The 25789-nt window shown below is 44.6% G+C and overlaps 1 protein-coding gene across 5 annotated transcripts in view; it reads right to left on the reverse strand.

Annotated features, from left to right (window-relative positions):
- The window catches only part of GLB1 (galactosidase beta 1), a 136039-nt gene that overhangs the window by 40483 nt on the left and 69767 nt on the right, over positions 1-25789 (reverse strand). For all 5 annotated transcript variants that reach the window (NM_001393580.1, NM_001135602.3, NM_000404.4 and 2 more), the window contains 5 exons: positions 22661-22735; positions 19976-20065; positions 16858-16971; positions 15119-15250; positions 12466-12720 (listed from right to left, as the gene is read on the reverse strand). In NM_001393580.1, the coding sequence (NP_001380509.1) occupies positions 12466-12720; positions 15119-15250; positions 16858-16971; positions 19976-20065; positions 22661-22735 (666 nt within the window). The remainder of the gene's footprint in view (positions 1-12465; positions 12721-15118; positions 15251-16857; positions 16972-19975; positions 20066-22660; positions 22736-25789) is intronic.

The following is a 25789-nucleotide window of genomic DNA, read 5'->3' on the forward strand; positions in this document are numbered from 1 at the left end:
TTTGATGACTAGTTTATGAGCTATTTCCAGCTATAACACAGGCTCTAGGAAGGGAAAGTCTTTGTCCATTTTGTTTGAGGCGAGATTCTCCGCACGCAGGAGAGTGATATTCAATATACACTTAGTAGCACTCATGGCTGCTGCTACTTGTTGATAATTCTGCCAAGAAAAGATTCGTTGAAGAGGTGACATGAAGCCCTTCTGAAAGAATTCTTCACGTTCCTCTGCTCCCAGTTTAAGAGTTTTAAAGAATATTGTTCACTAAAAGAAAAACATTTGCCTTCCCTCCTTGATTAGAACCAATGAAAAACACTTTAATATAATTTACCTTTAAAAATTCTATTTAAAAAATATATACATTGATTTTTATTTCTCTTAAAAAGTTATGCTTTTGCAATTATTTTTGGTGGGGAGGTATGCACGTGTTGCTGAATATGATCTAAAAGTAGATACACTCTTAATGAAGTCAGCCCCATGGGGACCAAGCAGTGGTTTCTGGGGCTTCCTAAGGCAGTCTCAGTTAAAATAGTTCCATGACAAAGTGACTTTCTCTGACCACGGCTTGACCCTGGCAGACTCTCCACCCTTTGCTGTAATCACTAAGGCAATAATAATAGTTTCATAAATGTGAGGTTCCTGGAAATGCCTGACCTACTTTTTTGTTGATCAGACAGATACATGTGTTTGTCTGTCTGTTTTAAACTATCTGGATAAATGGAATTTAAAACAAAAGTCTCCCTCCCTCCCTCCCTCCCTCCCTTCCTTCCTTCCTTCCATCCTTCCTTCCTTCCTTATGAGGCAGGGTCTCACGCTGTCATTCAGACTAGACTGCAGCTGCACTATCATAGTCCATTGCAGCCTCGAATTCTTGGGCTTAAGCGATCCTCCTGTGTCAGCCTCTTGAGGAGCTGGGACTATAGGTGTGAAACTATCGGGGGGAGGTATGCACGTGTTGTTGTTAGCCATCATGGCCAGCTAACTTAAAAACTATTTTTAAAAATAGACATAGAATCTCACTATGTTGCCTAGGCTTGTCTCAAACTCCTGGCCTCAAGTGATCCTCCTGCTTTCACCTCCCAAAATGTTGGGATTACAGGTGTGAGCCTCTGTGCCTGGTCTCACTACTGTTTTAAGTTGTAGTTTAAAATTTTCCAAAATTTTTTGGGAGCTCCTTTAAAAGCAACAATAAGCTCAGGGTGAATGCTGCCTTTGTCACACTCTGAAAGAAAACATTTAGACACTTGCAGGACTTAAAATGGGAAAGACAAAGGTCCAGTTCCCAAGGTTAAAGGCTCTCACACACCGAACTCATGAATCACTGTGATGCTTACCTGGGAGAAAGAGAAGAAAAAGAGGAGAATTGAAAAGAAAAAAAGGTAAAAGCCTCTTACAAGGCTTGCTTAGAAATAAGAGGTTAAATAGATCTCAATGAAATACACAGAAGATTAATTCTCCCCTTCCTTCAGAACCCCAAAAGGCTCTGCAGCTGACGCAAATCACACTTTTTTGCTTCCTCCTCAGTCTTAAAGTAATAAAATTAAATAACTTTATGGTTTCTCTATATTTTGGGACAGGTCCAAATAGAACTGAAGCCATCAAATGCATAAAATAACAGCATAAAAGATAAATCACTTCTCATCAAATCCCAAATAAAAATTCTTTTTCCTTCTCAACTTCCAACAGTTCCACCATAGCTAGACCTTTTTAATACAATAGCTTACCTAACAACAGTCGTCAAACCACCTCACGTATCTGGAACCAAGCTAGGAACTGATAAGCAAAAACTACTGCCTCATGTCATATTTGTTATAAAGTTCACAACCTAAAAATTGAAGAAGACCTTCTTTCACTTCTAGCCTATTTACCCATTTACAAAAGTTCTAACAAGTTTTGTTGCTAAATTAACATAATATTTGTTGAGAGTAGTCTGATGGTCTAGTTTCAAAGTTCACGGGACTTGTGCAACTGGAAACAGTGAATTAGACGGAAATAGTAGGTCTTGTAGGAGGTAAGCATAACTGCAAATTAGACAAAAAAGAAGTTTAACAAGCACATCAAATTTAGGATGAAAGTAGGGTCCAATAGTGTTAAGACCTGTGGGATATTGAACAGATGGCCCCAATTATTAGTGGGTCCCTCTATCAAGAAGTAGAATCTGTCTGGGCATGGTGGCTCACTCCTGTAATCCCAGCACTTTGGGAGGCCAAGGTGGGTGGATCACCTGAGGTCAGGAGTTCCAGACCAGCCTGGCCTACATGGTGAAACCCCATCTCTACTAAAAATACAAAAATCAGCCAGGTATGGTGGTGTGCACCTGTAATCCCAGCTACTCAGGAGGCTGAGGCAGGAGAATCGCTTGAACCTGGGAGGCGGAGGTTGCAATGAGCTGAGATCGTGTCGCTGCACTCCAGCTTGGGCAACAGAGTGAGACTCCATTTCAAAAAAAAAAAGGGGTAGAACATGTTTCTCCATTCCTTGGATCTGGCTGGTCTAGTGACATATTTTGGCCAAACAACGTGGAAGAAGTGACATGTGAATCCTGACTTTGGCCTTAAGGAGCCTTGCGCATTTGCATTCTTTCTTTGAACCCTGCTCAGTCGTGTGAACCCTGCTAGTCATGTGAACAAGCCTAGGCTAGCTTGCTGGATGATGAAAGAGAGATGGTCTCATCTTCTCTGTTGCCTCAGCTGACAGATGGCTAACACCCAGGTGGTCATGCCCAGCTGAGACCAGCAAAACCACTACTTGGTCTGCCAATACTCAAAATCGTGAACTAAATAAACTGTTGTCGTTTTAATCCACTAAGTTTTGGGTGGCTCGTTATGCAGCAGAAGCTAACTGATACACATCTCCATGGTCAGAAGGTGCCTAAGCATGCTACTTTTCAGGAAAGTGAGTGACGTTTAAAAACTCAATTTAAAAATAGTAGAGCCATCCACTACTTAGTCAGTCCCACTTTCACTGATCAATCACCAAATCCCACTGGGGCTTCCTCAGCCATGTCTGTGCCTTTCTCAGGATTGCTGAGAACAGCTGGGTGAGAAGACACCTGTGAGCACTCAGTACTGTAGCCAGCACATGGTAAGCTCTCAGATGTGGCTGGTACTATTACTATTTCCTGAAGCTGGACCGCCCTCCCTCCCTACTGCCACACTCAAGTCCAGCTCTGTTCCTTCTCTCTGGACCACTTCTCCAGCAGAAGAGTAGCTTTCAGGGGTAACAGGGAGAGAGTTCTGTTTTATACCTATCAGGCTGGAGGTGCCTATGAGACCCCCAAAGGTGGGCTCCAGAGCCTTGTAAGAGCTGAGCTGGAAAAGGAAATGTAAGCATGTCCAGCACATCTGTGAGGACAATCCCCAAAAGTGTAAGAAGAGAGCCCAGGACCAAGTCCTGAGGACTGCAACATAGAAGCTGACAGAGAAGCCTGAGAAGGAGCAAAGAGAGGGAAGAAAACCAGGAGAAGTTTGGGCACGCAAGTCAGGAGAAGCAATCCCCCCACCTCTCACCAAGTAGCTGGGACTGCAGGTGCCATCATGCCCTTGTAACTATCCTATGGTTATCTAGGGGCTCCATCCTAAGTCGCCTCATTAGCACAAACCCAGGTGGGATTGAAAGAGGCTAGTTATGAATAACAAAAGACACTCCTACCACTCAGAAAATTCCAAGGGTTTTAGGGCCCTGGAACCAGGGACAAAGACCAAATATATTTCTTACTATACTATTCCCTTGAAAAATATCAATCCCTCTGCACAAAATATCCTTCCCACTAGGAAGACCAGACCTTTCCCAGCAATCTTAAGCACTTATAATTTCTTCCTCTCCAAGGCCCAACTGCATGGTTTACATATCTCTTACAGACTCTTATAATCCTCTTGGGCTCTTTCTATACCTCTGTCTCTCCAAATGGATTGAGACCAAGTGACTAACACTGATAAGGTTTTAAAAGTTTTACATACTCTTTTCTGGCATAATCATGTCTCAGTGCAGCCTTGATTTGCTGGGCTCAAGCAATCCTCCCATCTCCCACCAAGTAGCTGGGACTACAGGTGCATGCCACCAAGCCCAGCTAATTCAAAAATTTTTTTTGTAGAGATGAGGTCTTATTAAGTTGCCTAGGCTGGTCTCAAACCCCTGAGCTCAAGTGATCCTACCACCTCGGTCTCCCAAAGGGCTAGGATTACAGGTGTGAGCCATCGCGTCGGCCAGGAAATTTCAAAAGCAAGATGCAACAAACAGTTAAAAGAAGGAATTTCTTTCAACCGTTTATCATACATTGTTTTATTTCATAGTTATTTTACATCTTGAAGGTGGGACAATTTATCTTTAAAATACAGAATTACTTTTCATCAGTATTCTATTTTGATTCTTGACTCTTCAAAGCATAATTTTGGTTAAGGAAAAATGGACACTATCCCACTCACACCATGCTCTGTCATGCACCTAAACCTACCACAAAATGTTGAAGGCTGCATAGGATATTGACAGGAGACTTATCCACACCCAGCTGAAAGAGAGATAAATAGCACAAGCACTGCTGCAGTGGCAGAACATGACATTTCAGGTTTGGCATATAGCAGGGGTCCCCAAACCCCAGGCCACAGACTGGTCTGCGGCCTGTTAGGAACCGGGCCGCACAGTGAGAGGTGAGCGAGCATTACTGCCTGAGCGCCACCTCCTGTCAGATCGGCAGCAGCATCAGATTCTCATAGGAGCAGGAACCCTATTGTGAACTGCGCACGCGAGGGATATAGGCTGTGCACTCCTTATGAGAATCTAACTAATGCCTGATGATTTGAGGTGGAACAGTTTCATCCCAAAACCATTTCCACCCCCCCACCCCTGACCACACAGTCCATGGAAACAGTGTCTTCCACGAAACTAGTCCCTGATACCAACAAGGTTGGGGACCACTGGCATACAGGACATATTGTGGAAAGCACTGGAGAAGAACGCTTCCTATCTAATGGACTTTCCAGTCAGATAAGAACTCAGTGAGGTCAAAGCATTGCCCTGTGTCTGCTGGACAGAGCAGAACATGCCTGACCCCTTTCTACTGAAGTCCCAGTTGATATTCATTCACATCTGGCATTAACCAGAAAGCCACATCCGACTCAAGTAAAGCCAGTGTAAACAAAAGTGATTTTTTAATCTTATGAATCGCCCTTATCAGTGACTTTGCTCTCTAAATCAAGGTAGTTTCTTTACAGTAAAATGAATAGGAAGAGCATAGAGTCCTGTGCCAGGGCCTTTGACAAGGGCCTCTCCTGATGAAGGATGTGGGGGTTAGTGCACAGCCTTAGAAACAGCTGGGGCTTCAGGGATCATTTTGTCCAACCCCACACCGCAACTGCCAGCTCCCTGCATTCAAACCATGTGCTAACGTGCTCATTCTTTCAAATGTCAGAGCTTAGCACTCAGTGTGGGAGTGGGATCTGCCTGTTCTGAGGTGGCTGATCATTTAGAAGCCCCAGAGCTGGCCTGGGACTGTCCCCAGCAGCAGGGACCACTGTGCACCAGAAAACAGAAACCACATTGGTTCTGTGTTAGGTAGGATGTGTGTGTACCCTTGGACCTTCACACGCATTCAGTCCAAAGTCCACAAACTTCTTGGATGGGCCTTGTGTGTGGCACTTTATTGACATAGAATTCATATACCATACAATTCAGCAGTCTTTAGTATACTACAGAGCTGCACAACCATTACCAAAGTCAATTATAGAACATTTCGTCACTCCGTTAAGAAGCCCTGTACCCTTTAACATTCTCTTCCCATCCAACCAACACTCTCTTTTCCCTGCTCTAGGCAATCACAGATCTTCCTGTCTATATGAATTTGCCTGTTCCGGACATTTCATGTAAATGGAATCATGCAACATACAGTCCTTTGTGACTGGCGTCTTTCATTAGCCTAATGTTTTCAAAATTCTTCCATGTTGTAACATGTATCAATACTTCATTTCTTTTTATTGCTGAATCATATTCCATTGTATGGATGTACTACATTTCGTTTATTCATTCCTCAGCTGATGGACATTTGGGCTGTTTCCACCTTTTGGCAATTATGGATAACGGTGCAATGAACAGTTGTGTACAAGTGTTTGAGTGGACATATGGATTAGATGGGCTTTTGGGGGTCTGAACCCTTTGACACATTCACAAATACTGTGTGGAGATGTACTTTCAAGCCTGGAGATGCAGAGCATTCATCAGACTGACCAAATAAGTAAAGAGCCCCAGCCTAGATAATGAGTATGAGTTCCTCACCGGTTCTCAATGCTGCCTGCTTTTTCACATGGGCCTTCAAGACACGGCTGGGGCTCAGGTAGATGTGCCACTGAGCACTTCTGTACCTCGTACAAGTTACTTAGCTATCTAAGCCTCCAGCTACTCATCTGCAAACTGGAGATAATGATCCATCTACCACAGGTGCCTCTTTTGATGGCTACGGAGATAGTGTCTATAAAGCGTTGAGCAGAACGCCTGGGTCAGTAACTCTTGCGTGTGACACCTTTAAGACTTGGCCAAGATGAACCTCCCTCTGACCTCCAACACATCCCACACTTTTCCATTGGTCTCTACTGCATTAGGAGGGGAGAAAAAGAGGGATCGAGGGAACAAGAACTTGCTAGCTAAAGGGGGAAGATCCAGGGAGGGCTTTCTTTGTGTTTAGGTCCTAGAGCTCCTAGTTACCACTTTTTGGCTGAAAAATGGGACTCGGCAGAAAGATGGAGAGGCTGACAAAATGCAGGTAGAGGAAATATGAGAACAGGATCTTGCCCTGAAGGAAGAAGGTGGGGAGGAGATTCAGAATTCAGACTTCCTCCTAGATACCACTGGGCAGGAAATGAGGTTGGAGGCAGAGAGATAAGTCTGACAGGAAGCTGAGGGAACAAAGGAGTTACACCTGATAGCAGTCAAGGAGGATGAGGTCTTCAGTGGAGAGGGTGGAGAGTCAGGTGGCTTAAGGAGGGTGCTGAAGGTTGAAAAGGCCAGTGGGGGAAAGGAGCAGAGAGAGACCAAGGACTGCTGGGCAAATCTGAGGGCTTCTGGAGGCTGGCAACAATGAGGGGATGGTAGCCACGATGAATGCGCTGAGAAGTCCCTTAGCTGTGCTCAGTGACTGGTGAACCAGCAGAGACACCAGTAGTGGATCCATTCTACATGGAGGAGGAATGAAGGAGGCAGAGTAGAAGGCCAAAGGGGCAAGGGGGCAGGTGGACTGATGACTCTTAAAAAAAGATCGTGGTGGCCGGGCGCAGTGGTTCACGCCTGTAATCCCAGCACTCTGGGAGGCCGAGGCAGGCAGATCACCTGACGTCGGGAGTTTGAGACTGGCCTGACCAACATGGAGAAACCCCGTCTCTACTAAAAATACAAAATTAGCCAGGCGTGGTGGTGCATGCCTGTAATCCCAGCTACATGGGAGGCTGAGGCAGGAGAATCGCTTGAACCTGGGAGGCGGAGGTTGCAGTGAGCCAAGATTGTGCCACTGTACTCCAGCCTGGGCAACAAGAATGAAACTCCATCTTAAAAAATAAATAAATAAATAAATAAATAAATAAATAAAAAAGATTGTGGTAAGGCCTAGGCTTGGTAGAGGAAGAACTGCAGCCTTAATGGTGGAATGTTTCAGGTCATTAATAAGATTTAAGGCCGGGTGCAGTGGTTCATGCCTGTAATCCCAGCACTTCGGGAGGCCAAGGCAGGTGGACCACGAGGTCAGGAGTTCAAGACCAGCCTGGCCAACACGGTGAAACCCCATCTCTACTAAAAACACAAAAATCAGCCAAGTGTGGTGGGGGGTGCCTGTAATCCCAGCTACTCGAGAGGCTGAGACAGGAGGATCACTTGAACCCAGGAGGCGGAGGTTGCAGTGAGCCGAGATTGTGCCATTGCACTCCAGCCTGGGTGACAAGAGCAAGACTGTCTCAAAAAAATAAAAAAAAAGATTTAAGAGCAAGGTTGGTAGGCATGAGAGTTTGGTGCATAGAAACATGCAGCCAGAGAGAGGATATTAAAGCCTAAAATTCCAAAGGTATGTTCAGCAAGATATATGCCTGTGCTGGGCCATAAAACAAGTCTAAATACATTTAAGAAGACTGTGCAGCCATCATTCAAGTTAGTTTCAGAGCATATCCATCAGCTCCAATAGAAACCCCATGCCCACTTAACAGTCACGCTCCATTCCCACCCTCAGCCCTAGGCAACCAGTAAGCTACTATCTCTATGGATTTGCCTTTTCTGAACATTTCATATAAATGGAGTCATACAATACATAGCCTTTTAGTTTTGGCTTCTTTTACTTAGCATAATATTTTTCCAATTCATCTGGATTGTGGCATGTTATCAGTACTCCATTCCTTTTTATTGAGGAATCGTATGGATATACATGCTTTCTCCACTTGTCAGGTGATAGACATCTGAATTAATTCCAACTTACAGTTATTATAATACTGCTATAAACACTTGCATGTAAGTTTTTATGTGAACATGTTTTCCTTTCTCTTGTGTATATACCTAGGAGCGGAATTGCTGGGTTCTATGGTAATCTATGTTTAGCCCTTGAAGAAATTGCCAAACTATGCTCCCAAATGTACCTTCTTATCTTTCTACCAGCAATGTGGGAAGATTCCCTTTCCCCCATGTCCTTTCCAACATTGCCTATTGTCCTTCTTACTATTTAGCCATCTTGGTGAGTGTGAAGTAGTATTTCATTTTGGTTTTGACTTGCATTTCCCAAATGATTAATAATGTTGAACATTAATCAGCCACTAATTTTAGTTTATAATAGACATTTTACCAAAGAAGGTATACAAATGCAAATGTACTTAGCCATCTTATGCCTTCTTTGGTAAAATGTCTATTCAAGTTCTTTGCTCCTTTTGTGACTGGGCTGTTTGTCTATTATTGAATTGTAAGAATTCTTTACATATTCTAGATATAAGTCCTTTGTTAGATATATGATTTGAAAATTATTTTTCTCCCAGTTTGTGGCTTGGATTCTCATTTTCCTAATAATGCTTTTTGAAGAACAAATATTTTTAATTCTGATAAAGTCCAATTTATCAATTTTTGTTCTTTAAGGATAATGCCTTAGGTGTCAAATCTAAGAAGTCTTTGCCTAACCCAAGATCATGGAGATTTCTCTCCCTAGAGAGAAATTTTAGAAGTTTTATAGAGGAATTAAGTTACAAATTAATAATTACAAGATATTTTTACAAACCCAAAATATGTGGAAATTAAACAGCATACTTTTTTTGTTTGTTTGTTTTTGTTTTGTTTTTGAGACACAGTCTTGCTTTGTCACCCAGGCTGGAGTGCAGTGGCATGCTCTTGGCTCACTGCAGCCTCTGCCTTCCAGGTTCGAGAGATTCTCCCACCTCAGTCTCCCAAGTAGCTGAGATTACAGTTACTCACCACCACGCCTGGCTAATTTTTGTATTTTTAGTAGAAATGGGGTTCTGCCATGTTGCCCAGGCTGGTCTTGAACTCCTGGCCTCAGGTGATCCACCCGTCTCGGCCTCCCAAAGTGCTGGGATTTACAGGCATGAGCCACCACACCCAGTAAAACATACTTTTTAATAATCTATGGTTCAAAGAAGAAATCATATGGGAAAGTAGAAAATATTTCTAACAGGATGGCTGTGGTGGCTCACACTTGTAATCCTAGCACTTTTCGAGGCCAAGTTCACATAAAAACTTACATGCAAGTGTTTACAGCAGTATTATAATAACTATAATAACTATAAGTTGGAATGAATTCAGATGTCTATCCTAGCACTTTTCGAGACTTCATTTGAGGTCAGGAGTCCGAGATCAGCCTGGCCAACATGATGAAACCCCGTCTCCAATAAAAATAAAAAAAAAACAAAAAATAAAAAATAAAATAAAAATAATAAAAAAAATTAGCCAGGAGTGGTGGTGTGTGCCTGTAGTCCCCGCTACTCTGGAGGCTGAGGCAGGAGAATTGCTTGAGCCCGGGAGGCAGAGGTTGCAGTGAGCAGAGATCACACCACTGTACTCCAGCCTAGGTGACAGAGTCCATCTCAAAAAAAAAAAAAAAAAAGAAAATATTTCAAACAGAATAATGAAAATACATTTCAATAAATTTTAAACAAGCAACACATAAATAAATAAAAGGGCATTTTATTAAACACACACCATGTACATCTTTTGCCTTCTCCTCCTCCAGCTATTAACATAATTTTCTCCTCTTCTTCAGAATTAAATTTCTCAAAAAGAACGTTTATATTCAAGTATTCCTGTTCGTATTCCTTACCCTGGTCTTCTCTATAGAATGCAATCTGGCTGGGAGATGCTTCACTCCACTGGAACAAGGCTTACTGATTCCCAAGGGCCTCCTTGCTTCTAAAACCACCGAAGTGCTTCTGTCTTTATCTTATTTGTCCTCTTGGCAGCATAAATGCTGGTTTTCTTCCTACTTGTTTGGTCTCTCCTCTTCAGTCTTCATCATGTTTTTGTCCCTCAAACATCAGCCTTACGTCCTCTTTTCTTCCCTCTGCATCCTCTCTCCTTGAGAGACCTCATCCAGCCCATGTTTTCAACAATCATCTATACAACAATGATCTTCTACATACATTCCTGGCCCAGATCCCTGCCCTGAATTCCCAGCCTATAGATCCAACAACCCTCCTCCAATACTGTCTTTCCCAGCCATTCTCCAAGGCCTCTGCTATGGTCTGAATGTTTGTGTCCACCCAAAACTCATCTGTTAAAATTCTAGCCCCCATGTGATGGGTTAGGAGGTGGGGCCCCCTCTGGGAGGTGATTAGGTCATGAAGGTGGAGCCCTCATGAATGAAATTAGTGTCCTCATAAAAGAGACCCAAGAGAGCTCCTTTGCCCCTTCAGCCATGTAAGGACATAGAGGGTGCTGTCTATGATGAAGTAGACTCTCACCAGACAGCAAATCTACTGGTGCCCTGATATTGAAGACTTCCTAGCCTCCAGAACTGTGAGAAATAAATGCCTGTTGTTTATAAGCCACCCAGCTTATGGTATTTTGTTATAGCAGCCCAAATAGACTAAGGCAGCTTTTCAAACACAATTGGTCTAAATTCAAACTCATGACCCCCCTTTCTAAGCCTAAGTCCCCTTCTGAAGCTGCTTCTTTCAGCAAATGGTACCATTCTGCCCAGCTGCAAGCTTGAGACCTGAGTCATCCGAGACATATCCCTCTCCCCAAACCCTCCTGTCCAATCCATTGTCACAATTTATTGATCCAACTTTGAACATCTCTCAAATAGTTGATGTCATCTCCATCTTAGATACCACCATCCCAGTTTCTCAATGAGACTATGGTCCAGCCTCCTAGATGGTTTCCTCGAATCCATAAGTGTCCTTACCCAAACCATTCTGCACAATGGGGTCAGAGGAGCTTGTCAGATCACAGTCTTATCATGTCACTCTCCTGCTTCAATGGCTCTCAACACAAAGACAAAACTTTAACGTGGCCTATAAGGCCCGTCCCAATCTAGTCTCTACCTACTTTCCACACTTGACATTTTCCCCTCCAACCCCATGGCCTTTGCACAAGCTGTTACCTCTCCCAGGAACATGCTTTCTTCCCTTCTTGCCATGCTAATTCTTACTCATCCTTCATATCTCTGACAAGCATCACTATCTTAGGGAAGGCTTCCCTGACCTCCCTGACAAGGCAAAATGCACCAATTATTATCAACCCCATAGCCCTTCTTAGCATCCATCACAGCTATGGTTTTACTTTTTAATATGAGTCTGCCTCCCTCACTAGACTGAAAGTTCCATGAGGGAAAGGACCATGTTTGGTTTTATTCATGATTGTATCCTTAGTGCCTGGCACACACCTTGGGCACATAGTGGCCACAGAATGAGAAGTGTGTTGAATGAGTGATGGTAAGGTGATCTAGGATGAAAACAGGACATGAGGGAGAGGAGAAGGCGGTGAAGGAAGATATGCCAATGTCTTCAAACGACAAGGCGGAGTGACTGGGAAGTGAAAATGGATGAGGAAGAGTGGAGAAGCAGACAGCTTATGATAGAAGCCCCAGGGGTGTGGGGCTGGATGCAGGTGGGGATATTCTGGGAGCACTGGGCTTGGCATAAATGAAAACCAGACAGACTCTCCCAGAGGGATCCACCTCTTTGTCTTGACTGGATTGTCCTCAAGATAAAGAGAAAGCACCCCTATAATCAGCATCAAAAGGGGTCATGATTCTTCTTGGAGGAGGCAGGATGGTGTCATTCACTACAGGAAGCCAATGACAAGGGGGCAGATGGCAGCACCTCCGAGCTGGCCACTGAATCCCTGAAGATCTGCCACAATCCGCCTCCTGAAGAATGTCCGAAACGCCACACTCAAAACCATCACACGATATCTCACTAACAGCTCTTTGTGATTCTTTCTCAGACACTAACAACCAAAAGTTTAGGCCTGAATTCAAACCCTTCCCATGAAGACACGTACCTTGGTCCATCCAGGAAACTGGATAAAGGTGTCCTGGGGCAAGTCTGGGATCCCACTGGGAATGGAGAAGTTCCCCATATAAAAGGCCGGGAGCGTGTAGTTGGATGAGTTGTGGGCCCAGGCTTCATCATGGTGGCCACTGTCACGGTGTCCCCAGCCCCCCAGGTGGCTGCACACTGCATCCTCAGTGTCCAGTGGAAAGATCGTCCAGTCCGTGAGGATATTGGAACTGAGAGTCAGGTTAGAAACCAAACCCTGCAAAGCAGAAACAGAGCACAGTGAGCTGGGGAGGGAAGGAAAAAGGCTTCACATGTCTCTGCATTCCAGGGAAATGGGAAAAGCAAACCGGGATACAAAACACCAACAGGAAATGAACCTCGAAATATGTGTACATCGAAGTAACACAGATCTAACTGGAGGTTGAATTACAAATCCTTGGGAAGAGATATATTCCCCAAACTATAGCTTTCTCCTTTGCAGGTCATGATGTCTCTATAAAAGGCCCAGAGTTTCTGCTTCTACAGAAAGGGCATTGAGTTGCTAGAGTGATTGATCCCAAATTCCCAAATTTTCAGAGTTTGGCTGAGAGCCACTGCTAGAATAGAGAAAGATGGGCACCAAGAAAGATGGGCCAGGCGCAGTGGCTCATGCCTGTAATCCCAGCACTTTGAGAGGCCAAGGCAGACAGATCACTTGAGGTTAGGAGTTCAAGACCAACCTGGCCAACATGATGAAACCCCATCTTTACTAAAAATACAAAAGTTAGCTGGGTGTGGTGGCAGGTGCCTGTAATCCCAGATACTCAGGAGGCTGAGGCATGAGAATCGCTTGAACCTGACAGGTGGAGGTTGCAGTGAGCTGAGATCGCGCCACTGTACTCCAGCCTGGGTGTCAGAGCGACACTCCATCTCAAAACAAAAAGGGATCCAGTCTCTACAAAACATACAGAAATTGGCCTAGTGTGGGGGCATGCACGTATAGTCCCAACTACTTGGGAGGCTGAGAAGGGAGGATTGCTTGAGCCCAGGAGACAGAGGTTGCAGTAAGCCGAGATTGTGCCACTGCGCTCCAGGCTGGGTGACAGCAAGATCCTGTCTCAAGATGGAATCTGGGGACAGAAGGAATGAGTGAGTGTGGGATACAAAGGAATAGTCATCCCACTGCGGATGGAGCAGGTACGACGGATGCAGCCAGGAGCAAATATTGGCCTTGAGCACCTCAGCCATCATCACAGGGAGGACCACACCCGAGTCACTCACCTGTTATGAGGGCCAAGTGAGATAACATACATGAGAATACTGTGATACCTTAAGAGGATAGGAAGGTAATGATGACGATGGCAAACCTCAGACCTGAATTCAGAAGCTGCTCTATTTGTTCCACACAGGCCAGGGCTGGGCTGTCAAGGCTCAGCTAACTTCCCCTTCCCTGGCTTGTATGTAGGGAACTTCCCCATTCCCAGTGGAATCCCAGATACCAAGTCTCGATTGCCCATTTAATAATTTGATAAATATTAACCAGGTGGCTGTATGTCAGGCTCTTTGACAGGTACTGGAGACCCAGAGACTACACAACAGAGTCGAGTCACTCCCATGGGTCAATGTGGCCTGTGAGAGCCAGGCAGGAGGCCATGAAGTCCACCCTGAGCACAAGAACTATGAGAGAGACATTTATACTGGAGGCAAAGGTGGCCTGCACACAGCTATTCCCTAAGTTCCCTAAGATGTAATTGCCTGATCTCAAGAGGGTCAGGAAATAGCCCCAGACACCTGTCCTGCCCTAGCCTGGGTGGTGCCATTGTTCCCTTGATAAGGCATTCTCTCCTCTCGCGGAGGTTGAGCTCCCTGAGAGAAGCCTGTCTCTTGACACCTTTGCATTCCCCAAAGCACCTGGTGGGGCATCTCGCGGAGTGGGAGCTTAACAAATGCTTGCTGAATAATGCTCTAAAAATATGTGTTAGAAAAACTTATTTGGGCTACACATCTGGACACAGGAGTAATCAACAGAGGTGAGAGCCAGTGCCCCAAGGGAAGAGGCTTCCTACAAGTGAAGAGTTTGCCACAGGCTAACCATCCAAACCCATAAAACAGGGCAGAACAGAGGCTCAGCTGGCTTTACTGGCAAAGGAGTGCCTTCAGTGAGCTTGGTGGTCTTTTAAAGCAGAGGAAAAGCATGGTGGAGGGGCTTCCTCCTTCTGTTTCTTTCTATAGGATGACCAAACTCAAACACAGGGGAAAGGTTCTGTTTGCAAAGCTCAACTTTCTCATCACCTACAGAGGAAAACAGCTCTTCAAAATAGCTCAACTACTTCTTTTTTTTGAGACAAGGTCTCACTTTGTCACCCAGACTAGAGTGCAGTGGCATGATCATAGGTCATTTTAATCTCCAACTTCTGGACTCAAGCAATTCTCCTGCCTCAGCCTCCTGAGTAGCTGAGACCACAGGTGCATGTCACCACACCTGGCTAAGTTTTTAATTCTTTGTAGAGGTCTCACTATTTTACCCAGGCTGGTCTTGAACTCCTGGCCTCAAGTGATCCTCCTGCCTTGGCTTCCCAAAGTGCTGAGATTACAGGTGTGAGCCACTGTACTGGGCTTCAACTTCTAAGTTGTCACCCCTTAAACCTTAGTCTTGACAGTGTGGTTTGTCCTACCTTAAAATCGTTGATATATGCACCATAGTTCACACGTCCCATGTTCTCTACCAGAAGGTCCAGAGTGGCTCCAGCTTTCCCTGTTATGTTCAGAGTGATCACATTGTTTCGCTCAAGGACTCCCTGGGGGATCTGTGGGGTTCAAGACCAAATGACAATTGAATTGAGGGTAAGAAGGTCAGCAAGGAGAGGCAGCATGCTCAGTTAATTTAGCACTCATTTTCTTGCCTTGAAGTGTCACCAGACTTGGAAAGAAATGCTTTGATAGCATCTTAGCCCAAGTTACCGGCCAGGTCGGAAAGATCCCCCAATCACTGCTTCCTAAACAGGAAAACTGCCAGACACAGCTCAGAGCATGGAACGGTCTAAGCTGGTTTCCTTTGCCCTGGAATGTTTTACTGCCAACTACTTTTAGTGGAAAATTCCAGGGGAGGATTCTTACTAGAGTAGCTGCTTCGTGTTCTGACAGCACAAAAGTCACTCACAAAAAATTGCTTCTGAACAACATGGAGAGATAAGACAAAATCAGACAAAAGAGATAAAATCAGAGAAGTTAGGTGGAGTATTCTCACCTCAAAATACTTGACATGATGCATTAACCACGAAAATCATACAACAGAATGAGGAAAAACAACAGGTATTTTATCAACAACATATTCCTAACTTTTTAAAAGGTTAGACTTTAAAAATTGACCTTACAATGATCATAATTCACTAAGACAACACCCAAGTTAGAAGCGAAGAAACAGTCACCATCAATAGAGCAGAATGTCTTAGTAATCTGCTCCCACTGAAATGAAAGCTGTTGATTACAAGAGAATGGGAAATATTTTAAAATCTTCTGAACAAATTTTCTTGGTGAAGAAAATCTTTTCCTGTGTTCCTTCCTGTGACCATTTCGGTGAGAGGACTGGAAGTCCTGAAATGCATCTGCTTTTGTTATGAAACACGGTTCTTTGTGCATTTCAGTAATAGTTGTCACGAGCAGTCCTTCAGAATATAATTTCTCATGTAGGATAAAGGCACGAAGTTCAACAAACTTTGTACAGTGGCAGGTACAAAATTGAATTGGAAATGGACCCCACCCTTAAGGAGCAAAGAAAGCACAGGCAACATCAGTCACAGAAGGGCGGCCTTGGCTGGGGAGACCCCGAAGGCTTCTGAGAGGGTGGCGCATCAAGCACAGCCCTCTGGGTTAAGATGGTGGGTAGGGTGGATTTCAGCAAATGGCACATGCATGAGGCCTCACAGCAAGCAAGAGGCACAGCTAAGGGTCACCAAGAAGAGGGGTGGAGCCCACCGTGGTGGGTCATGCCTGTAATCCCAGCAATTTGGGAGCCTGAGGCAGGAGGATCACTTGAGCTCCGGAGTTCAAGACCAGCCTGGGCAACATAGTGGGACCCTGTCTCTACAAAAAAAATCAAAACATTAGCCAGGCATGGTGGTGCACCCCTGTAGTCTCAGCTACTTGGGAGGCCGAGGTAGCAGGATCACTTGAGCCTGGGAGGTTGAGGCTGCAGTGAGCTGTGATTGCACCACTGCACTCCAGGCTGGGCAACAGAGCAAAACCCTGTCTCAAAAAAAAAAAAAAAAAAAAAAAAAAAAAAAAAAAAAAAGATGATGGGTAGAGCCTGAGGCTGAAAAGGTGAGCAAAGACCCCAAATGCTGTGTTAACAAGTGCAGGCTGCTCATCCCCACCCTCACTGGGACAAAACGCACAGTTCAGAGACGATTCTTACCCCATCCACAGCAACATATGCTCGATCGTGGACTCCATTGAGGGGTGAAGAGAGAGGTGCTGGGTTGCTGCAATCTTGAGGAAGTGTTGTCCGGTACAGCACAAACCCATAATGCTGGTTAGAAAAGGATTTAAGAAAAATACATCACTATTGCCATTCATTTAGAGAACTTGGTTACCCTAGACATGTATGAAAGCGATGTTTCTCAAACCATAAGGAATGAAAATCTTCCTCCACCTCCCGAAAAAATTAAATTTGAAAAAGGAAACTGGTTTAATTTTTAGGTCATCGAATATCTATCATAATAGTAAACTGCAAGGAACCATGAACAGTGTCTTATCAAGCATCCCTTTCCCATAAGAGGAACCTGGACCCTGAATGGGTTAAGTTACTTGCCCAGGGTCATACAGGGGATTATATCATACATAGCAAAAGTTATGGATGTTAGCTCCAAAAACAAAACTAAGTAAAACCAACAAAAAAACAAGGCAAACAAACAGCAAAGCCAAGAGATGAAGTTCTGCTCAGCAAAACTGTCTCCAAGTTCATGGGCTAAATCTGCTTTAACATACAAAACAAAAGGCAATGAGCTGGGTGCAGTGGCATGCACCTGTAGTCTCAGTTACTTGGGGAGGATCTCTTGAGCCCAGGAGTTTGAGGCTAGTCCGGGCAACATAGCAAGACCTCATCTCTAATAATAATAATAATAACAACAAAGTCCATCAGAACTGTTTTAAGTGGAGGAACGGGGGAAAGAAACAGTTAAGAGACTAGATTGTAACCAACCACTAAGTCAGAAAATATTTTTAGATGCTGACATCCCTGGTCCAAAAGGAAAGCCTCAAACAATCAGCCTCAGCAGTAACGGAATTATTCACAGATTATAGTTATTGACATAATAATCCACAGAATTATAGTTATTGACTTTGCTTATTTACTTCCTGCTGTGGACATTATTAGCAGGGCTGAGCTGGGACATAAATCCAGTTATGGAACAGAATGCAAATAGAGATCCAGCATGGAACAGAGAAAAGTTTCCCTACTTCTAGGGCCCAGAAAGAAAGAAAGTAAACTTCAGGCAAGTGGAAAGGTGACTGGGAGGAGCTGAGGAGAGCACTAATCCACCTTCCTGTGTTGCAGGAATGAGCTGAGCACAAGAAATGCTACTAAGACCACACAAACCTTCTAGCGCAAGAACACCTCCCGCCCAGGCTCCACATCTCCATCTCCTTCTGGTTCATTTATTTACTTATTTTGAAAACTAGCTAAAGTGGTAAGTTTCCTCAAGGGCTGAGGAAAGCTTTGTCAAGGGCTTCCAGAAGGAGGGGTAGAAGCTGTGATGCTCCCCAGGCAGGTGTGGCTGAGGCTCAGGGGATCCCTGCAGAGACAGTAGGCTGAGCCCCACTCCCTGAAGTCTGTGCCCTTTGGGGTTTTTTGCTGGAAATAGATATTCTGTGGACTTGCCCCAGATCTGAAAGAGCCAGGGCCCAGGAAGCCCCACCCAATCTGAGAGCACTACCTTGGCCAAAGATCAGAAAGCAGAAGGGGTCTGAGAAAGAACAATGGCTGCACGTGTTCATATAGTAACCTGGAACTCCCTCCCCAGGCTACACGTGCTCTGGGATCATTGTCTGAAGTGCTCAACAGCTCTGCTAAGTGCAGGTAAGTTCCATTTATAGATGTGGGTGCTAGGACTGCAGAGTACCCTATACAACGTTCATGAAACAGTGAATGTGTGTGTGGTGGGGGGACTTAATTATTCATTTTATTGCAAAATAGAATTGTTGGAATAAAATCACAGGTGTAAAAACAGGAACTGACAGCAAACTTCACTAAACTAAGATTAGATATGCTGTTATTATTTTGCCTTACTGTTCAGACTCCTTCCAGAAGGTGGTTGCCACAGAAAATCAGAAAGGAGGACGTGGATAACCTTCCATTTCAAAACATGGGGCTGAGATCCTAAGTGATGAAGCTTAACATTGCAGTTAAGGGACAAGCTGGTCTCACGGGCATCCTGCTATCATTCCCTGAGAAGGACATATCACCTTTGTTGTGTTCATGTCCAAAATGTCTTACTGAATCTAATTAGTGAGGCAAAGTCTACAAACACCCCGACCTTTTCAAAAATGTCCATGTCATGAGAGAGAGACTTAGGAACAGTTTCAGACGGAAGAAGACTAAGGAGAATATAATTAATGTGTGATTATGGATTGGAAACTGGATTGAGAAAAGATTAAGCTGTAAAGGACGTTATTGCAATGACCAGGGACACTTGACTATAGAATTTATATTAGATAATAGGATTGCATCAATATTAAATTTCTCATGTGTGATCATTGTATTGTGGTTCTGCAGGATAATGTTCTTTTTCTTAAAAGATGTATGCTGTGGAGTGACATGGTGCTGATAACTCAAATGGTTAGAAAAAGAAAAGCAGTTGACTACATACACAGAGAGAAAAAGGCAATTAAAGCACTGTTAACAATTGGTGAATCTAGGTAAAAAGCATATGGGTGTTTATTGTACTATTCTTGCAACTTTTTTTGGATTTAAAATTTTCCAAAACAAAATGCTGGGAAAAACTTTAAAAAAATAAAGATGAGGCAGTGTCTGGAGATCAAACACATACACATATACAAACACTGAAAAAAAAAAAAAAAAAGATGTGCTCTGTTCTCTTCAAAAGCAGGAAAAAGAATCTCAAAGAACCTAGTCTACCAAAAAACACAGTCCTTATGCCATTGAACTAAGAACAAATAATTAAACTGTCTGTTTTGAGTATTAAAACAGTGATCTTCCACTGATGCCTAGTAATAAAGATTAATTAGATTGGTCAGTGAACTCAATTTATAACTTGTACAGAATTATGTTGAAGCAGGTTGGGCTACCTCCTGTATGAGTGAGAAGAAGTGGGGCAAAAAATATAGGCATGATCAGCCCACCACGCAGCACTTCAAGCTAAAGAGAGCCTGGAAATTCATGGTTCATTTACCTGGGATCTGATGCATTTGCTTACCATTTTGGCCCCTGAATTCAGAATGGGCACTGCAAGGCAGTGCAGAAAGCACACTTTTGCAAGTAGAAAAAAGGCGAGGCATTACCTTTGAAGGCCTACCTGTTTCACCTGGATAAATGTCAAGGGATAAAGGCTTTTGATGGGCCCAGAGGGACACAGAATGTCCAGAGCTGCTCCCACTGTCTTTAACTGAAAAGAAACAAAAGCAGCATTCACACACTGCACCCCTCACTGGTCATCAGGTTACAGAGTCATTCCCTAATTATCAAAGACATCAGTGGGTTTGACCAAACCCCTAAATAAACCTAAATCATTCAAATTCCACTCAGTATTGCTTCCCAGTCTCCTTCAGTCCTCTCCATCTACTCCCTAACTCCTGATGAAAACTATGAATGATAGTAGTCTTAAAAAGGTTTCAAACATACCTATTCGGAAGTCCAACCTGCTCAGAGACCTATAAAAGATTCTTAAAATGAATGAAAACGAAGGCTCAGATGCTGCCTCCTTATAAACCCTCTCTGAACACCCCCGAGTAAAACAACTAAGAAGTAAAAGTAGTAACCAGAGGCCAGTTACATTCAACTAAGATTAGACATGCTATTATTATATCACCTTAATATTTAATACTTCCTAGTTACTTCACCCTCCTCTGAACTTGTGTGTGGCATATCTTCCATGCCTGTATCACTTTTCAGTTGCTCATCTTTGTCTTCCTCACCAGACTGTCAGCTCCTTAAGGATAAGATATGTTCCATTCTCAGCCCCAATGCCCAGAACATAGTAAATGCCTGGTAAGTATTTATTATATTCAATACAAAGGATTGTGTATTCTTGCAACCCAGGATACTTATTCTGATGCAATAACAACAATAATAATAACAGCTACCAGTCATTGCCTGTCTACACACTCCAGATGAGATACAGCGTTTTACATGCACTAGCTCATTGAATACTCACAGCTACCCTGTGAGGCAGGTACTACTGTCCCTGTGTTGTGGAGACTCACAGAAGTCCACTTGAGTAATGACAGAGCCAGGATTTGTAGTTAGATTTGGCTCCAAACCCCAGGATTTTCCATGACTATAATACTGGTTAGGATTTTTTTTTTTTTTTTTTTGAGAGAGTCTCACTCTGTCACCCAGGCTGGTAGGCTGGAGTGCAGTGGCGTAATCTTGGCTCACTGTAACCTCCTCCTCCCAGGTTCAAGTGATTCTCCTGCCTCAACCTCCTGAGCAGGCATGTGTCACCATGCCTGGCTAATTTTTGTATTTTTAGTAGAGACGGGGTTTCACCATGTTGGCCAGGCTGGTCTTGAACTCCTGACCTCAGGTGATCCTCCCGCCTCGGCCTCCCAAAGTACTGGGATTACAGGCGTGAGCCACCATGCCCAGCCCAGTTAGGAATTTCATAAACACTTCCCATGGTTACCTTGCTGATGTGCAGCATCAAGGAAAAAAATCTCATTTACAATTTCATCAAGCCAGCTACTCATATGGGTGTTTTCCCACCTGAACACTAAGAAATTCAACTCACGGTAAAAACTTATTTTCTATATAACTGTGTTCTACATAAACTTAATTCAGTTATATGCTGATTTGCTATCTTCAACTGTATATATTTATTTAAAAATAAAAAGTCATTTCTGCTCACACAATTTTCCTTCACGGTAAACAGAATGTGCTTTTGGTAATAAGCTAGCTTGGTTTTAGCAATGTTGTTGTTTTGAACATTTGGAGCTATTTTCTGTTGCATAAAAATAGATTTGTCATGGCTCTGAAACAAACAAACCAAAGTTTTCCTTAAGTAGCTGTAGCAATGAACAAGTAGAAGGTGCTCCCTTTACAAGAGTGACTGAAGTCTGATTAATCTAAAGAAAGATCCTTATCAGACAGAAAGACCACATTCTTTGTAGAATGTAGCACAGGTATCTGACACTAGGTGGAAAATGTTATAAGAACTCAACCAACCAACCATGTCAAAGGGCTTCTTGGATGGAAAAATTACATAATCATGTTTGGCATTTTGCTTGAAGATAAAAACTTACGATACTATTTTAGGATATCGAGATTCTTAAGAAATAGGTAACGGTTCTTTTTTTTTTTTCTTGTGAGTTAATACATGTAGGAGTTAGGGATTATAAAAGGGGAAAACCTGAAGACACAGATGGTCAAAACAAATTGACTTTGGCTATGTCACTCCTCTGACTATTAAGTAAAACCTCTCTTCTTTTTCGCTTTTCCTAGAATACATTGCCCTTAACTCCTATTTATGATTGATTTCTAGCTTTTCCCCCAGTGTCCCCATTTAACGTATAAACCACAGACCATAAAAATTAGGACATGACTTTGAGATGGAGGTAAGTATATAATTTAGGGCAGAGGTCTATCAAAATGCCTGTGATTTTGGGGAACTCCTAAAAAAGGTAAATACGACAAAGAGCCTTGGCAGCCATAACAATGAGGTGGCATGTTATTTCCACAAAGGCACTTGACACTGTTTAAACCACTGATAAAGGAACCAAGATGACCCAAATGATCCAAGAATGCCTACTACTCCCACCCATGTCTCATCTGCTCATCCTGTCAACAGGCATGAGTATCTTCTCACCTCTCTCTCCCCATTTTCCCAGAAACATCATTTACCCCATTAGGCTTGCAGAAAACAAATTCGCAGAAAAATAACGAACCAATTCCTCCAGCACAGCACTTTCACTCACTGCTACTAAATTCCACTTTCTCACTCCCATCTCTCACTTTCAAAGTTTCTGTTATTTTTTTTTCTTACCTTTTCCAAAGTGACCTTTCCATATGCAAACTTTGGTGTAGATGGAGGGATAGGACCTTCTGGTACTTTTTCAAACTATAAACCAGAGTAGAAAAAGAGAGAAAAGAAAAAAAGTTGGTAAACCTTCAGAAACATATTCATAAAATTTATTATTTGAAAGCAAGGTCAAAGACTCAACAGTGCCACTGCTTTTTTGGAAAATCAAAGGAACTAGAGACTTCTTCCAAAGCAGGATCTGGTAAATTTTTTACCTCTAAGTGTATGTCTGTGTTTTAAGCTTCAGGAATATCCAAATAATTATAAACCGAAAGACCTCAAAACAAAAGAGCAAAAACAAGTAGAGAGAATGAGGGTAAACAGCAGAAGGCTAGGGGAGTGGGAGGAAAAAAGGAAACAGGTACGTGACAGACTCTGAAGGGAGACAGCCTATCATAGGAAAAATATTAATCTTATTGCTAAAGTTCTGTATCAATGTTAAATTTACTGTGGTTACAAGAGAGAATACTTCTCCATATTGTTATGAAACATATAACGAAGTATTTAAAGGTAAAGGCCGTGATGTATGCAATCCTCCAATGATTTAGAAAACACACACACAGACAGAGAGAGAGAAGAAACAAGTCTATGCACGAGTGATGAAGCATGTAGAGTAAAATGTTGACACAGATAAGTCCGGGTGGAGAATATACAAATCCTCTTTTTTTTTTTTTTTGAGACGAAGTCTCGGTCTTGTTGCCCAGGCTGGAGTGCAATGGCACGATCTCAGCTCACCGCAACCTCTGCCTCCCGGGTTCAAGTGATTCTCCTGCTTCAGCCTCCCGAGTAGCTGGGACTACAAGCATGCACCACCACACCTGGCTAATTTTGTATTTTTAGTAGAGATGGGGTTTCTCCATGTTGGTCAGGCTGGTCTCGAACTCCTGATCTCAGGTGATCCGCCCGCCTCAGCCTCCCAAAGTGCTCGGATTACAGGCGTGAGCCAGCGCGCCTGGCCACAAATCCTCTTTTTTTAAACTACTTTTATTCTTGTAACTTTTTTGAAAGTCTGAAACTATTTTTCAAAATAAATCCTTATTAAATGTTAAATATTATATCTGGACATATACACATGCACACACATATATGTGCATGTATGTATACAATTATGGAGTAAGAAGATCTGGGAGAAAGTCCCACGTCTTAGAAATGTCTGTAGCCATCCGGCTTTTCAAGTAGAGTGTACTGTGAGTTCTCAAGATCCTTCTATTTCTTTCTTTCCTTCTTTTTTTTTTGGTTTCCCTTTCTAAAAGTCACAATGCTGGCAGCATCGCCTCTTTGTAGCCCGGAGCAGCTGCTGCCATCACGCTGGCTGTGGCGGAAGGAGGTCGTGGGCCGTGGCGGTGGGAGCAGCTGCTGCCATCACGCTGGCTGTGGCGGAAGGAGGTCGTGGGCCGTGGCGGTGGGAGCAGCTGCTGCCATCACGCTGGCTGTGGCGGAAGGAGGTCGTGGGCCGTGGCGGTGGGAGCAGCTGCAGGGCCAGTAGTGGCGGCGGAGAGGACCCCTGTGCCCCATGTCCCCGAGGCAGCTGACTGTGCCGTCCCCAGCCTCACGGGGCCAGGCAGGACCCACTCCCAGGCCCGGAGCCTCTGCCGCTGTTGACCCTGGCCCCGCGTCACTGCTCTTGCCTTGCTGCTGCTGTGGAAAGGGTGCAGCAGGAAGGAGGTGGTCAGTCCCTGAAGCCCGCCACGATGGGACTGGGCCGAGTCACCCGCTGGTGGGGGAGCAGCGTGGTTGGGCACGGAGGGGCGGACAGAGAAGGGCCCCGAGGTAGAGCTGTGCCCGGGGCAGTGCCACGATCCATGGAGCCAAGCAGGAGCTGGGCGTGGCTGCAGCTACCAAGCTGCAGCTGCAGACGGAAACATCTCTGCACTCTTGGGGATCCAGGAAGGTCCCCCTCCCCCAAAAGGCTAAGAGGTGTCTGCTCCCGCTGCCTAGCCTCTCTCTTCTCCCAGCGCCACTCCGACCTCGGAGCAAGGATGGGGCTGAGCCCACGTGCTGTCGCACGCTGGCTGGGTGTGCAAACGTTCAGGGTAGCACTGACATGCCAGCCCCCTGCCACCTCAGCCCCCTCTGGACTTTGGGCACCGATGAGCACAGGAGGGAGGCCGAGGGGGTGCTGAGGGCAGCTCAGCACTGGCCTGTAGGCGTCCCTTGGCACAAACAGCCCGGGCGCCATGAATGGTGGCAGAAGGTAGACAGGCTCCTGGGTGGAAGGGGGCGAGTCCCTGGTGAAGCCCCACCTTCAAGCTGGGGAGGGCCCGAAGCCTGGGGTTCGGGCCACTAGTCTCATGGACCAGAGGGGTAACTTGTGGTGCTTTTCCCTGGGCCTGCCAATGGCCGCCATGGTCCAAGCAGCACCTCCTCCCCACTGAAGCCCATAACAACTGCTGGCTCAGCAAGACCAGAAGATGGAGAGACAAGGGGAGACAATCAGCTGCAGAGAGAAACTATCCTCTCTGCTGAGAGGATGGAGGGAGGATGGGACAATCTACCCACAGAGAGGCACTACCCTCTCTGCTGAGAGCTGAACACTCGCTGGGACACCCTGGCTATGGAGACAAGCTATCCACTGTGGGCCTCCTCTGAGCTGTTCTATCGCTCAATAAAGCTACTCTTCATCTTGCTCACCCTCCACTTGTCTGTATACCTCATTCTTCCTGGATGTAGGACAAGAACTCAAGATCCGCTGAATGGTGAGGCTAAAAGAGCTGTAACACAAATAGGGCTGAAACATGCCCCTTGCTCACCACGTTGTGGGGGAAAAGGAGAGAAGAGCTATGGTCCTTTGGGGAGCCCAGACCTGGGAGCTACCCGAGCTGGGGCTGTGACTCTCTCTTTGGGGCCCTGTGGTTCCTGGCATCTCCAAGCTTCTGGGCACTATTGCATACCCTGATGCCAGCCAGAGAAGCTGTCTGCAGTGCACCTGGTCCAGCTGCAGCCTTGCAGAGGGCTGGCGCCTGTGCGGGCAACCTGGAGCTGCTCACCCTGCAGCAGCAGCAGCCAGCGTGTCTGACCGTGCACAGTGGCTCAACCCCACGCTTGCTCACACACCCCTTGCCGCTTTATGCCTGACTTGCCCTTGGCAGGTAT

Source organism: Homo sapiens, chromosome 3 (assembly GCF_000001405.40).
Source record: "Homo sapiens chromosome 3, GRCh38.p14 Primary Assembly".
NCBI classification, from domain to species: Eukaryota; Metazoa; Chordata; class Mammalia; order Primates; family Hominidae; genus Homo; species Homo sapiens.